The following is a 15779-nucleotide window of genomic DNA, read 5'->3' on the forward strand; positions in this document are numbered from 1 at the left end:
TTTGTGTATTCCTCCAAAAACTTTGGTCTAATTGCACAGAAACATTAAGACCCTAGTCATTGTTTCATGACTCCTAGGGATATTGGGGTCTCCACAATGTGACAGAAGCCCAGAGAGAACTGAAGCTAAATGGATATTGTGAGACTGGTAATCAACAAAAATCACAGTGTCTGGGTTTCAGGGCCTAACTCTGGGCTGTTATCTTTTTCCCAGACGGCTGATCAAGTGGATGAGGTATGAAATGAAAGCAAAACTCCAAGCAACAATACTCACCAGTTGGTTCAATAGCAGTATCATTTTTAAAATAATATAAAATCAACAGTACTTGCCATAAAAATTTCAAACAGTAGAGAGGGCATAAAATTAAAAGTAAAAAAATACCTTTATCCCTCTTCAGCTTCTAATTGTATTGCCCAGAAGGTTTTTTTTTTTTTTTGTAGTCTTCCAGGCATTTTCTATGCAAATTCAAATAAGTAAACATAAAATATCCTTTGTTTATATACAACTGAGATCATACTCTATATATTAAATCTGTAATGTTTGTTTCTGTTTTTGTTTTTTTTGAGACAGAATCTCACTCTGGTTGCCCGGGCTGGAATGCAGTGGCATGATCTCAGTTCACTGCAGCCTCGACCTCCCAGGCTCAGCCTCCCGAGTAGCTGGGACTACAGACATGCTGACCACCATACCTGGCTAATTTTTTGTATTTTTAGTAGAGATGGGATTTCGCCATGTTGCCCAGGCTGGTCTTGAATTCCTAGACTCAAGCAATCCGCCTGCCTTGGCCTCCCAAAGTGCTGGGATTACAGGCAATGAACCACCGTGCCCAACCTAATCTGCAATTTTTTTTTTCATATACTGTATCTTGAAGATTTTTCTATAGTGGCACAGCAGGTCCTCAAATAACGTCATTTCATTCAACATCATTTCATTTTAACATTGATGAGAAAAAAAATTGATTCCCAGCCAGGGCCATGTGAAGTTTGCATGTTCTCCCATCTTTGGTGAGTTTTCTCCCAATCCCAAAAATGTGCACATTAGGTGAACTGGTGTGTCTAAATGGTTCCAGGATGAGTTTAGGGACATGTGTGAGTATGCCCCGCAATGGGATGGAACTCTCTGTCCAGGGTTGGTTCCCACCTTATACCCTCGGCTGCAGAGATTAGTTCTGGCCTCCTGTGACCCTGAACTGAAATAACTGGGTAAATAATTATCTTACTTATTTTTATTAATCTTTCTTAAGCATACGTATAATTCACATTTATTTCAATGTTTAATATTAGAAGTGTTTTGGTCTTTATTGAGAAATTTGGTGATGTTCTCATGACCAGAACTATGTTATAGAAACTTAATTCTTGGCCAGGCGCGGTGGCTCATGCCTGTAATCCCAGCACTTTGGGAGACTGAGGCGGGCGGATCACGAGGTCAGGAGATCGAGACCATCCTGGCTAACACAGTGAAACCCCGTCTCTACTAAAAATACAAAAAATTAGCCGGGCATGGTGGCAGGTGCCTGTAGTCCCAGCTACTTGGGAGGCTGAGACAGGAGAATGGCATGAACCCTGGAGGCGGAGCTTGCAGTGAGCCGAGACTGCACCACTGCACTCCAGCCTGGGCGACAGAGCGAGACTCCGTCTCAAAAAAAAAAAAAAAAAAAGAAACTTAATTCTTGTTTATATCAATTAGCCTGTGGTAAAATTTATGTTGTTATACATCATTTCCCTTAAAGTCAGTTTCCAAGAACCTAGTGACAATGTTAAGTGAGGACTTAATGTACATATAGATGTACCTCACAGAATGTATTACCACATAAATTATGGTTACTATAATTTAATTAACCAGTCCCATATTGATGAACATTCAGTTTGTTTCTAGATTTTTCCTGTTAAAACAGTTGAGCTTTGTCACCTGGCTTCTATAATTTTGGAAGCCTGTTATCCCCATTGCTATCAGTAAGACTAGTTCTGTGAGAGTCTCTCTCTTACTGTCAGCTGTGGCCTATAGAGGATAGCCAACACTGAGTTTCTCAATGATTATGGTACTCCTTTCACCATCTCATTCCTTATCACTTTAGAAAGCAGGTTCTCCTCCAGGCTCTGAGTTTATGGCACTCTCCTAGAATATAGGATTTAGTCACCTGGCAAGAACTCCAAGAGACACTGCTACCATGCTGACAGGGTAACTCTTAGAACCAAAAAAACAAAACAAAAACAAAATGGCCTACACTAAGTGAAGTGAAAATACCATCCGCTTGCCAAACTCATAAGCCATTAGAAGCAAGGTAGGCACAATTATCACAAGCAACAGCAGATCACTGTGAAAGTTCCCTGAACCACAGAAAGATACAGATTTTTTAATAGAGCATGGTACCCATGGTGCCAGACAGATGGGAAGCCAATAAGGGTATTGCTCAATCTAACTGATCAAAAGAAATCAAAGATGGATGAAACAAGAGGTTGATGGTAACTACTGCCAACAAAAAAAATGAAATCCCTTGTTTGGTTTCAAGACCTGAGCCAATTCTCAGTCCCAGAACTCACCGACTAAATCAAAAGCCAGGGTCCCAAGGAGGAAGTACCTTACAACATCATAGCAAGTATATACAGGAATATAGCTATTATTTCCCAAAGACTAGAAAAAAAGATATTCGTCAATATGGAACTGACTGACTAAACCACGGTACATCCCAACACAGAATACTGTATAGCTGTAAAAAGAAATGAGGCATCTCTCTTTATACTTATATGAAGGGATCTCCAGAATGTATCATTAAATGAAGAAAACAAGGTGCAAATCAGAGTATATGTTAACTTTTGTCAAAAAAAAGAAAGAAAAAAGAAAAGAAACTAAAATATACACATTTTCTTTTTATTTTCAAAGTGAATTAATGAGAAGCTAAACTAAAACCATGCAAATGATACTGTAGAGTGGGAAAGAAAATAGTGAAAGCACAGGCACGCAAACAAAATTTCGCATCAGAAAACTAGATAGTCACCTCGAAGGGTTGTCACTTGGCAAAGGACAATTTGAGCATGAAAAATAATACTGATTCCAACTGATTAAAACACAACAAATATGTAAATCCATGAATTCATAATTAAACTAATAAAAAAAAAACTTCATTTGTTACCATTAGAGGTTCTTAGGACACACAAACTTACTATTCCAAAAAATTCCATGAATGAAGGGAATCAAGGATATATTCTGTTTTCATATGCAAACTATATTTCAGAGTAAACAGTCACTCTTATCAGAGAAAGTTCTTCCTTACAGAAGAACTAATTCATCACCATTTTGGAACAATTAGTGAAATAATGGATATAAGTATTAATCATCAATAGCTGCTAAAACCCTAAGTAAAAGATTGATGGAAGTTTTTGGGTGGCCAGATTAGGTTAGCAGCACAAACAATAGGACAACTGTTCATTGTCTCCTGGTGTGATGTAATAGGAAGCACAAGGCACCATGTATGAAGTATACTGCCTCCCCCCAAAATTGAACCTGAGTATAAATAAGCCTTTATAATTTAGTATTAATTTTTAGGAAATACAGGATATAGAACAACAAGTTAAATGACACCAGGAGGTAAAATGAGCCAATCCAGAATGCAGAACATCATATGGATGAATGATCCAGTTTCTTCCAATACATCAGAAAATAAAAAGAGATAAAACTATAATCAGTTAAAAGAAATTTAAGATATATGACAACCCTATGAGATATGTAGATTTTGGATCCTTTATTTTTCTAGTGCTGCTGTAACAAATTATCGCAAATTTAGTGGCTTAAAACGACACTTTATTCTCTTCTAGGGGTCAGAAATCCAAAAAGGGGCCTCACAGGCTAAAATGCAGTCAGACCACCTTCCTTCTGGAGGCTCTAGGAGTTAATCCATTTTTTTGCCTTTTCCAGCTTGTGGAGGCTGTCCACATTCCTTGCCTTGTGCCCCCCTTGCAGCAAGGGCATCTCTCTGCCATCTGTTTCTGCTCTCATCTCCTTCTGTGATTCTGACCCTCCTACTTCTCTCACATGGAAACACTGTAAATACACTGAGCACATCCAGATAATCCAGGATAACCTTCCCATCTCAAGATCCTTAACATAATCACATCTGCAAAGTCCCCGTTGCCACATAAAGTAACATGGTAACATAGATTCCAGGGCATAAAATGTGGACATCTTCGTAGGGATGGGGTTATGGGGCAATATTCTGTCTACCATGGATTCTGATTCAAACAAACTAACTGTGAAAAGATTTTTTTCACATTGTTGGGGAAATTTTACCATAGATTGGGTATCGTATTATATAAAGGAATTACTATTAATTTTTAGGTATGAGAATGACATTGTGGTTATGCTTTTTTAAAAAAAACCTTATCTGATGAAATGCTTACTGAAGTATTTAGAGGTGAAATGATATGATCTCTGGGATTTGCTTTAAAATACTAAAAAAAAAAAAGAATATGGGGAACAGATTAAACAAGATATGCAAAATAAAAAATTGTTAAAGCTGAACTATGGTTTCATAGGGTTCAGAATACTTTTCTCTCTACTGCTGCGTGTACTTGAAAACGTCCACAACAAAAGGTTTTTTAAAAATCAAAGATAATCTAATAAGGTTTAAAAGGGAAGGAAAGGAGAGAGTCCAATGCTTCAATGAACAGTTCTTATGCAAATATTGTTACATACCAGTGTGGATGTATGGTAGGATAAATTGTCAGATACAGAATTGCATTTAAAATGTTTGTAGTAATTGCTTTGCATGAATAATAAGGTTGAACAACTAAGTAAACAAACGGAAGGTTGTGGGAGCCAGATTTCTCCCTGTGAGAGACTAAAGTTGCAAATAAACTAGAAGGGGAGGATAAAATAAACCCTGTGGTGCTGGATTAGAATTGAAGACATCAGTATGAACTCACGGTTAGTTTAATAGATAAATAGACAGGTAGACACTACTTATAGATATGTGTGTATACACCAGTTAATATACATACATACATACATTACCTAGCCCTGTTGACTCAGACATCCTGGAAGCAATCACACCCCAGCAGCAAAGCACAAACCCAGTACTCATATCTTGGCTTCTAAATACCATTTTCCAATAAAAGGAACCAGAGATTCTTGGGAAACTGGCTGATTCTAGGACTGGGGCCGGGAAAATAAAAATAAGCCTGAAACATCTTACAATACCAGAAAGTAAGGAACTGCTCAAAAAATAAAATGATAGAAGCATGCCAAAGAGTCACAACAGCCAACCTGAAAGAACTAATGGCCAAAACTGGAAAAATCTGAGCAACAAAATAAATAACATAGCATTGGATTATAATCCCAAATTATAAAATAAATATACATGAATCCATAATGATATATATAGAAGATCAAATAATAAGTAAGAAGAAGTACTAGCATTGGGTTAATGCTGGGATCTACTCTTGGTGAGGCTGATAACATTCAGGAAGTCAAGGTAAAAGATGGTTAAGTGTAATGGGACAGGTTACAGCCCAAAGAAACTCATAGATACACTGGGTCTATTCTAGGTTTAGGTTATATGGTGTTACATTTTGCTTTCAAAGATGAAGAGATTGGACATCCTGAAAGTCTTTCAATACCTGCAATATTGGGCAGAGCTAAGATAGATAATGCTTTAAAAAAATTATTTACTAAACGTAGCTCTTAAGAATCTCTCTATAATCTGGTATTTCCATTATCCACATACTGGCTCAGCCACCAGTTTAGAAAAAGGAAGGTAACTTAGATAGTTTTCCAAGGGCATTTCATACACTTCTGTCCCCACGGAACCCTCTAACACCCCTGGGGATAGTTATCCTTACCTTTTCAGTATGAGTCCAGCAATAGACACTATCCTATAACAAATGAGGTTATTAAGGCAAAGTGTCAGCTGCCCCACATGACAAAGTCAGAGTCTCATAGTCTCCTCTGAGGAGCTGAAAGATTCCTAAAATCTTTAAGATAAACTCTATACAAGCATTTGAATGATTCATTCTCCTCAAAGGAACTTTACAAGGTTCAAGGCTCTTCCTGGAGACCCCAGGTGTGGCGGCGGCAGCAGCAGCAGGCAGCAGGCCACTGTCTTTCCCAACAGGCTAAAACTGATGTCAAAAGCAGTTGTAAAAATACCTACCATTGAACCAAAAATAACTATTAGAACCATGAATGATAAAGTGAGGCAAAAAGACTTTTCTTTAAGCTTAACTTTTAGGCACTTAAGTCTCAGTACTCTTCACCCAGATGTCTACATGGATCACTCATTTTCTTCTTTTAGGTCTTTGTACAAAGGTTATCTCATCAGCGAGGCCTTTCTTGATCATCCTATAGAAAACAGAATCTGCCTCAATTCTGGATTTCCTTTCTCTCTTATCCTGCTTTATTCTCCTCATCAGGCATGCTTTATATTTGTTTACATAATATCCATCCCCTCCAGTAATCTCCATTTTGGCCATGATTTTGACTATTTTGCTTCCCATGGTCTCCCATTTTTCTTTAGAACATTTGCCTGGACAGTTAATAGTGGTCAGTAAGTATGTGTTGATTGAACCTCAAACTGGAAATGACCCAAATGTCCATTAACATGTGAATGGATAAGCAAAATGTGGGTACTTCTATACAATGGGATACTACTCAGCAATATAAAGGAAAGAACTATTGATATGTGCAACAATATATGGATGAGTCTTAAAATCATTATGTGGAATTAAGGAACCAGGCACAAAATAGTAAATATTATATAATTCCATTTGTATAAAGCACAAATAAAATAGAGATGAGGCTGAGATGGGAGGATCCCTTCAAGCCAGAAGTTTGAGACTAGCCTGGACAACATAGCAAGACCCTGTCTCTTCAAAAAAAAATTTTTAATTAGCCAGGCATGGTGGCATGTACCTGTGGTCCTAGCTACTCCAGAGGCTGAGGCAGGAGGATCATGTAAGCCCAGGAGTTTGAGATTACAGTGAGCTATGATCATGCCACTGCACTCCAGCCTGGATGACAGAGCAAGACTCTGTCTCTAAAATTAAAACAAAATAAAAATTTAAAAAGCAGATCAGTGGAAGTGAGGATAGAGTATAGAAAAAGGGAGGAACTGCAAAGGAGCACAAGGAATCTTTGTGGGGTGATGGACATGTTCTGTATTCTGATTGTGGACAGGTGCATACAATTTGTCAGAACTCATCAAATTGTACACTTTAAATACATGCAGTTTATTATGCATAAATTATTCCTCAACAAAGTTGAAAAAGAAAAAATATTTGTTAAATCAATTTACCTAGTGTATTTGCAGCTTAACTAAAACTTTAGAAATTTTGGATACATTGTGTTTGCAAATTTGAACTTCAAAATGCTGGAAATATAGAGGGGTTTTTTTTCCCTTTCTCCATTTCAAGCAAGGGGTTTCAGAGTGCTATTTCCCATATATGCAGTGAAGAAAGCTTTCTTTAGCTGGCCCAAGGGGCTATGAAGTAGGAGTTTTGAAATCAGCTGACTCAAGCATAAATAAGTGACCTATGCTTAAGAATAACTGAAGAAAGGTGAGATTATGCTTGAGTGGAGGTTCCATATTATAATTATGCTTTACAAATTCATTTCAGCCATTGATATCAAAATCTCTAAACACTCAAATGTCTTGATTAACACTTTCCTTGAGGCCAGGGTCATGTACCTCCTTGTAATTAAATCTCCTTAATATATTCACATAATGCTGAGCTCCATCTTATTGTCCATATGAACTATAGCACCCAGTGTTACAGAGTATTGCCAGTGTAAAATATGAATACCAAACTCTGGTTTAAGTTTTTCTGTAGAATTATCAATCTTAACATATAAAGTAAAATCCATTTTGAAATGGATTTCTAATTCCTACAGAATGTTTTTTGGACAACTGAAGAAATGTGTACTTGTTTTTAAAATGAAGCTGCAATATTGTAAAGGAACTCTGCAGCCACTCATAACAGCATAGTGTGTTTTATGAATAAGTTCACATTAGTTACATTTGGCAAACTGGACAAAGAAGCAATAATATACACTATGAACGTGTTACATTCCACTTTTAATCAACAAAGCTTTCAGTACATTGTCATATTAAGAAAAACATTGCAATTAGAAAAAGAAGCTAGATTATTTACTGATTATTCACTATTTTCACATAAACCTTCTAACATTTATAATAAAAGATGAAATTGTTAAATCTCTTAGCCATGAAAACAATACGATAAAAACCTAAAATATGTACTATATTTTACTAAAGTATATTTTAGTATCGTAAATGACAGGAAAAGGGGATTATGTACACAATTGAGACATCAATGACAATAATAAATTGCTTGAAACTTCATGTTGCATAGCTAGAAAAGAGATACTTTGATAAGTAATATCAATTACTATCCTCTGCATTGAAGAGATGAAGTCTTTAAGTAATTCTGCTCCCCTTTTTCCGTTCTCAGCTATAGCATGCCCCATGATCTAAGATCCGACCCTCCTCATTCTCTAGAGAGTAACATAAAAGTGATTGTTTGGAAATAAAATGAGGGGTTGAAACTCTGTATTTCAGAAGACACAATCAGTTACCTGACACCCAACACCAATCCTTGCTGTGTTAAGAATGTCAGTGTTTCTCATGCCTCACTCAGGAAGAGTTGCTTCAATACATCCCTCCACAGCTTTATTCAGTTTGGTCACACCTCAGGGAGTTTAATTTCATGCAAAGCTTTTAGACAGTGCTTTCCAGTGACAGGAGCAAATCTGGGTACCTTAAGGAGTTTAGGAAAAATGAAAACAACTTGAACTATTAATGCTTGATCTGAACTTTGGCCTTGCCCCAGAGTTAGTCTTCAAGAAGTGAGAAGAAAGCAGAATGTTGGCAAGACTTGAGATATTAACTAAAAATGTAAACATCTTCTAAGATAACTGTTGTAGAAGAAAGAGGTAAACATAATGGAATAAAAGATGATCTTGTTGTATTTAGGGCTGATATTATAGCCATAAAGGGAAATGGCAATAAAAAGTGGATGTCAGAGATTTGACTAAACTGAACTGATTTCATAAAAGGCTTAAGAATCAGCCTGACTGGGAAAAGAGAGGTAAAACACCTGCGTTACTAGTCCCCACATGAACAATGCATTTATTTTCAAACAAAGAGTAGATAATGCTCAAGCTTTGGAAGGGGAGATCTATTTTTCAGAGAAAGTATGGACACCTGAAAGAAACACAAGGGGCATTGTGTTTAGGAATGAAACATGTGATCTAAGGAAATGCCAGTTTATCCAAGTTTTGGCTGAGTTACTGCTTTGTCAAGAGAAGGGACATATTTTTGAAACAACTGTGATTAACTGAAGTTTAATGTGCCTTTTTGTAATTACCTATAATTTTAAAAGATTATATTGTAGCTTGTAAGCCTGGTTTAAGAATAAATAAGGTGATCTTTTTAAAAAACAAAACATCACATGTGTTTTATTGTTTAGAATTTACCTCCAAATACAGAGGAACTCTACATTTTGCTATTTACTAAGACAATTTTGTTTATTCAATTTGGCTTCTCTTTTGGCCTTTGGTTTCTGAACATGGTCATATCACCACCGATTACTTAATATTTCTCAAAGTTTCTGTAATTATGCAAGTGACTGAAAAATCACTCTGCATAACTGGGATTTCAAATAAGATAAATTATCACAATTTATAGGACCTTGTTGTTCCATGTTCTAATTCAAAGGATAGTGCCTGAGTAAATTTTTCTTATACATTCTAGAACTCACAGACATTAAAACTCTCTGGGTCACAAATGAGCTAAAAGAATAAATGCAGACTGTTAGAATTGCTTTTTGAGTTTCACGTCATTTCTGAGCTAGAGGACATTCTCCTAGCTGTAGTCTTTAGCTGTGTGACCTCATACAAGTTTGATACTTCACTTCTCCACTCTTCTTTTCTCCATCTGTAAAAAAAAATGCAAAGCTATCCCACAGAATTATTCTTAGTATTACTTTTTGTAGTTCGTGTTTATAAAAATGTATCAGTATATTTACCAGTCTCTTTGATAAACATTGTTACTTACATCCCACTCTTCTCCATTGTTTTCTTGTGACTGAGGTATATCATTTAGTGTTCTCTTGGGAAGAATCTGTGAGTTTTGCCTTTGAATGATATTTTCATTGGTTATTAACTCTTAAGCAGACAGTTCATTTACCTCAACTGTTAGAAGATGTTTATTTGCTGTATTCTGCTGATGCCGATGAGAAATCTGTCAGCAGACTATCATTCATGTATAAGCAATCCATTTTTTCTCTAAGATTAAAGTGAGACAATTGGAATTAACATAATTTTAAGGTTCCTGTCTTATTTGTCTGGAGGACAGATATATTAACTTTAGACTTGTTAATAAAATAATTTTAAGAAAGCCACTGAAATTACAGAATATATAACTATCAAACCAGTAGAGGGGGAGAGAAGTGGTAGATACAGAGAAAAAAAAAAACAGAGTAAATGGAAGCACAAAAGATGATAAAAATAATTCTAAATATGTCAGTAATCACTAAGTGGCGTAAACTCACCAGATACACACTGGAGACTACAAAATTGTTACTTTCTTAAATCCATCTGTTGGGTTCCAAGATAGCCAAATAGGAACAGCTCCAGTCTACAGCTCCCAGCATGAGCGACGCAGAAGACGCGTGATTTCTGCATTTCCAACTGAGGTACCGGGTTCATCTCACTGGGGAGTGTCGGACAGTGGGGGCAGGACAGCAGGTGCAGCCCACGGAGTGTGAGTCAAAGCAGGGTGAGGCATCACCTCACTCGGGAAGTGCAAGGGGTCAGGGAATTCCCTTTCCTAGCCAAGGGAAGTGGTGACGGACGGCACCTGGAAAATCGGGTCACTCCCACCCTAATACTGTGCTTTTCCATTGGTCTTAGCAAACGGCACACCAGGAGATTATATCCTGCGCCTGGCTCAGAGGGTCCCACACCCACGGAGCCTCACTCATTGCTAGCACAGCAGTCTGAGATCGATCTGCAAGGCAGCAGCGAGGCTGGGGGAGGGGTGCCGGCCATTGCTGAGGCTTGAGTAGGTAAGGAAGCCGCCAGGAAGCTCGAACTGGGTGGAGCCCACCGCAGCTCAAGGAGTCCTGCCTATCTCTGTAGACTCCACCTCTGGGGGCAGGGCACAGCCAAACAAAAGGCAGCAGAACCCTCTGCAGACTTAAATGTCCCTGTCTGACAGCTTTGAAGTGAGTAGTGGTTCTCCCAGCACGGAGTTTGAGATCTGAGAACGGACAGACTGCCCCCTCAAGTGGGTCCCTAACCCCTGAGTAGCCTAACTGGGAGGCACCCTCCAGTAGGGGCAGACTGACACCTCACATGGCCGGGTACCTCTCTGAGATGAAGCTTCCAGAGGAATGATCAGGCAGCAACATTTGCTGTTCAGCAATATTCACTGTTCTGCAGCCTCCACTGCTAATACCCAGGCAAACGGTCTGGAGTGGACCTCCAGCAAACTCCAACAGACGTGCAGCTGAGGGTCCTGACTGTTAGAAGGAAAACTAACAAACAGAAAGGACATCCACACCAAAACCCCATCTGTACATCCCCATCATCAAAGACCAAAGGTAGATAAAACCACAAAGATGGGGAAAAAACAGAGCAGAAAAGCTGAAAATTCTAAAAATCAGAGCGCCTCTCCTCCTCCAAAGGAACGCAGCTCCTCACCAGCAACGGAACAAAGCAGGATGGAGAATGATTTTGATGGGTTGAGAGAAGAAGGCTTCAGAAGATCAAACTTCTCCAAGCTAAAGGAGGAAGTCCAAACCCATCTCAAAGAAGCTAAAAACCTTGAAAAAAGATTAGACGAATGGCTAACTAGAATAACCAATGTACAGAAGTCCTTAAATGACCTGATGGAGCTGAAAAACACGGCATGAGAACTACGTGATGAATGCACAAGCTTCAGTAGCCGATTTGATCAACTGGAAGAAAGGGTATCAGTGATTGAAGATCCAATGACTGAAATGAAGTAAGAAGTTTAGAGAAAAAAGAGTAAAAAGAAAGGAACAAAGCCTCCAAGAAACATGGGACTATGTGAAAAGACCAAATCTACGTCTGATTGGTGTACCTGAAAGTGACAGGGAGAATGGAACCAAGTTGGAAAACACTTTGCAGGATACTATCCAGGAGAACTTCCCCAATCTAGCAAGGCATGCCAACATTCAAATTCAGGAAATACAGAGAACGCCACAGAGATACTCCTTGAGAAGAGCAACTCCAAGACACATAATTCTCAGATTCACCAAAGTTGAAATGAAGGAAAAAATGTTAAGGGCAGCCAGAGGCAAAGGTCGGGTTACCCACAAAGGGAAGCCCATCAGACTAACAGCGGATCTCTTGGGAGAAACTCTACAAGCCAGAAGAGAGTGGAGGCCAATATTCAACATTCCTAAAGAAAAGAATTTTGAACCCAGAATTTCATATCCAGCCAAACTAAGCTTCATAAGCGAAGGAGAAATAAAATCTTTTACAGACAAGCAAATGCTGAGAGATTTTGTCACCACCAGGCCTGCCCTAAAAGAGCTCCTGAAGGAAGCGCTAAACATGGAAAGGAACAACCAGTACCAGCCATTGCAAAAACATGCCAAATTGTAAAGACCATCGAGGCTAGGAAGAAACTGCATCAACTAACGAGCAAAATAACCAGCTAACATCATAATGACAGGATCAAATTCACACATAACAATATTAACCGTAAATGTAAATGGGCTAAATGCTCCAATTAAAAGACACAGACTGGCAAATTGGATAAAGAGTCAAGACCCATCAGTGTGCTGTATTCAGGAGACCCATCTCACATGCAGAGACACACATAGGCTCAAAATAAAGGGAAGGAGGAAGATCTACCAAGCAAATGGAAGACTCAAAATGGCAGGGGTTGCAATCCTAGTCTCTGATAAAACAGACTTTAAACCAACAAAGATCAAAAGAGACAAAGAAGGCCATTACATAACGGTAAAGGGATCAATTCAACAAGAAGAGCTAACTATCCTAAATGTATATGCACCCAATACAGGAGCACCCAGATTCATAACGCAAGTCCTTAGAGAACTACACTTAGACTCCCACACAATAATAATGGGAGACTTTAACACCCCACTGTCAACATTAGACAGATCAATGAGACAGAAAGTTAACAAGGATATCAAGGAATTGAACTCAGCTCTGTACCAAGCGGACCTAATAGACATCTACAGAACTCTCCACCCCAAGTCAACAGAATATACATTCTTCTCAGCACCACACCGCACTTATTCCAAAATTGACCACATAGTTGGAAGTAAAGCACTCCTCAGCAAATGTAAAAGAACAGAAATTATAACAAACTGCCTCTCAGACCACAGTGCAATCAAATTAGAACTCAGGATTAAGAAACCCACTCAAAACTGATCAACTACCTGGAAACTGAACAACCTGCTCCTGAATGACTACTGGGTACATAACGAAATGGAGGCAGAAATAAAGATGTTCTTTGAAACCAATGAGAACAAAGACACAACATACCAGAATCTCTGGGACACATTTAAAGCAGTGTGTAGAGGGAAATTTACAGCACTAAATGCCCACAAGAGAAAGCAGAAAAGATCTAAAATTGACACCCTAACATCACAATTAAAAGAACTAGAGAAGCAAGAGCAAACACATTCAAAAGCTAGCAGAAGGCAAGAAATAACTAAGATCAGAGCAGAACTGAAGGAGATAGAGACACAAAAAGCCCTTCAAAAACTCAATGAATCCAGGAGCTGGTTTTTTGAAAAGATCAACAAAATTGATAGACCACTAGCAAGACTAATAAAGAAGAAAAGAGAGAAGAATCAAATAGACACAATAAAAAATGATAAAGGGGATATCACCACCCATCCCACAGAAATACAAACTACCATCAGAGAATACTATAAACACCTCTGCACAAATAAACTAGAAAATCTAGAAGAAATCGATAAATTCCTGAACACATACAACCTCCTAAGACTAAACCAGGAAGAAGTTGAATCTCTGAATAGACCAATAACAGGCTCTGAAATTGAGGCAACAATTAATACCCTACCAACCAAAAAAAGGCCAGGACCAGACAGATTCACAGCCGAATTCTACCAGAGGTACAAGGAGGAGCTGGTACCATTCCTTCTGAAACTATTCCAATCAATAGAAAAAGAGGGAATCCTCCCTAACTCATTTTATGAGGCCAGCATTATCCTGATACCAAAGCCTGACAGAGACATAACAAAAAATGAGAATTTTAGACCAATATCCCTGATGAACATCGATGCAAAAATCCTCAATAAAATACTGGCAAACCGAATCCAGCAGCACATCAAAAAGCTTATCCACCATGATCAAGTGGGCTTCATCCCTGGGATGCAAGGCTGGTTCAACATACGCAAATCAATAAACGTAATCCAGCATATAAACAGAACCAACAACAAAAACCACGTGATTATCTCGATAGATGCAGAAAAGGCCTTTGACAAAATTCAACAGCCTTTCAGGCTAAAAACTTTCAAAAAATTAGGTATTGATGGGACGTATCTCAAAATAATAAGGGCTATTTATGACAAACCCACAGCCAATATCATACTGAATGGGCAAAAACTGGAAGCATTCCCTTTGAAAACTGGCACAAGAAAGGGATGCCCTCTCTCACCACTCCTATTCAACATAGTGTTGGAAGTTCTGGCCAGGGCAATCAGGCGCAGGAGAAAGAAATAAAGGGTATTCAATTAGGAAAAGAGGAAGTCAAATTGTCCCAGTTTACAGATGACATGATTGTATATTTACAAAACCCCATTGTCTCAGCCCAAAATTTCCTTAAGCTGATAAGCAACTTCAGCAAAGTCTCAGGATACAAAATCAATGTGCAAAAATCACAAGCATTCTTATACACCAATAACAGACAAACAGAGAGCCAAATCATGAGTGAACTCCCATTCACAATTGCTTCAAAGAGAATAAAATACCTAGGAATCCAACTTACAAGAGATGTGAACGACCTCTTCAAGGAGAACTACAAAACACTGCTCAACGAAATAAAAGAGGACACAAACAAATGGAAGAACATTCCATGCTCATGGATAGGAAGAATCAATATCGTGAAAATGGCCATACTGCCCAAGGTAATTTATAGATTCAATGCCATCCCCATCAAGCTACCAATGACTTTCTTCACAGAATTGGAAAAAACTACTTTAAAGTTCATATGGAACCAAAAAACGGCCCACATTGCCAAGACAATCCTAAGCCAAAAGAACAAAGCTGGAGGCATCATGCTACCTGACTTCAAACTATACTACAAGGCTACAGTAACCAAAACAGCATGGTACTGGTACCAAAACAGAGATATAGACCAATGGAACAGAACAGAGCCCTCAGAAATAATACCACACATCTACAACCATCTGATCTTTGACAAACCTGACAAAAACAAGAAATGGGGAAAGGATTCCCTATTTAATAAATGGTGCTGGGAAAACTGGCCAGCCATATGTAGAAAGCTAAAACTGGATCCCTTCCTTACACCTTATACAAAAATTAATTCAAGATTGATTAAAGACTTAAATGTTAGACCTAAAACCATAAAAACCCTAGAAGAAAACCTAGGCAATACCATTCAGGACATAGGCATGGGCAAGGACTTCATGTCTAAAACACCAAAAGCAATGGAAACAAAAGCCAAAATTGACAAATGGGATCTAATTAAACTAAAGAGCCTCTGCACAGCAAAAGAAACTACC

General features: G+C 38.3%; 1 long non-coding RNA gene across 1 annotated transcript in view, besides 1 other annotated feature; it reads right to left on the minus strand.

The window, feature by feature from the left end:
• RBBP8-AS1 (RBBP8 antisense RNA 1) overlaps positions 1-15779 on the minus strand; it is a 210274-nt gene that overhangs the window by 151290 nt on the left and 43205 nt on the right. The window lies entirely within an intron of this gene.
• Positions 10113-11312: an enhancer, noted in NCBI's record as "CDK7 strongly-dependent group 2 enhancer chr18:20464856-20466055 (GRCh37/hg19 assembly coordinates)". NCBI's record gives its function as "activates an origin of replication core promoter dependent on BRD2, BRD4, P300/CBP, MED14 and CDK7 cofactors, with strong dependence on CDK7, by STARR-seq in HCT116 cells {active_cell/tissue: HCT116}" and the evidence as "EXISTENCE:reporter gene assay evidence [ECO:0000049][PMID:35650434]".

Source organism: Homo sapiens, chromosome 18 (genome assembly GCF_000001405.40).
Source record: "Homo sapiens chromosome 18, GRCh38.p14 Primary Assembly".
NCBI classification, from domain to species: Eukaryota; Metazoa; Chordata; class Mammalia; order Primates; family Hominidae; genus Homo; species Homo sapiens.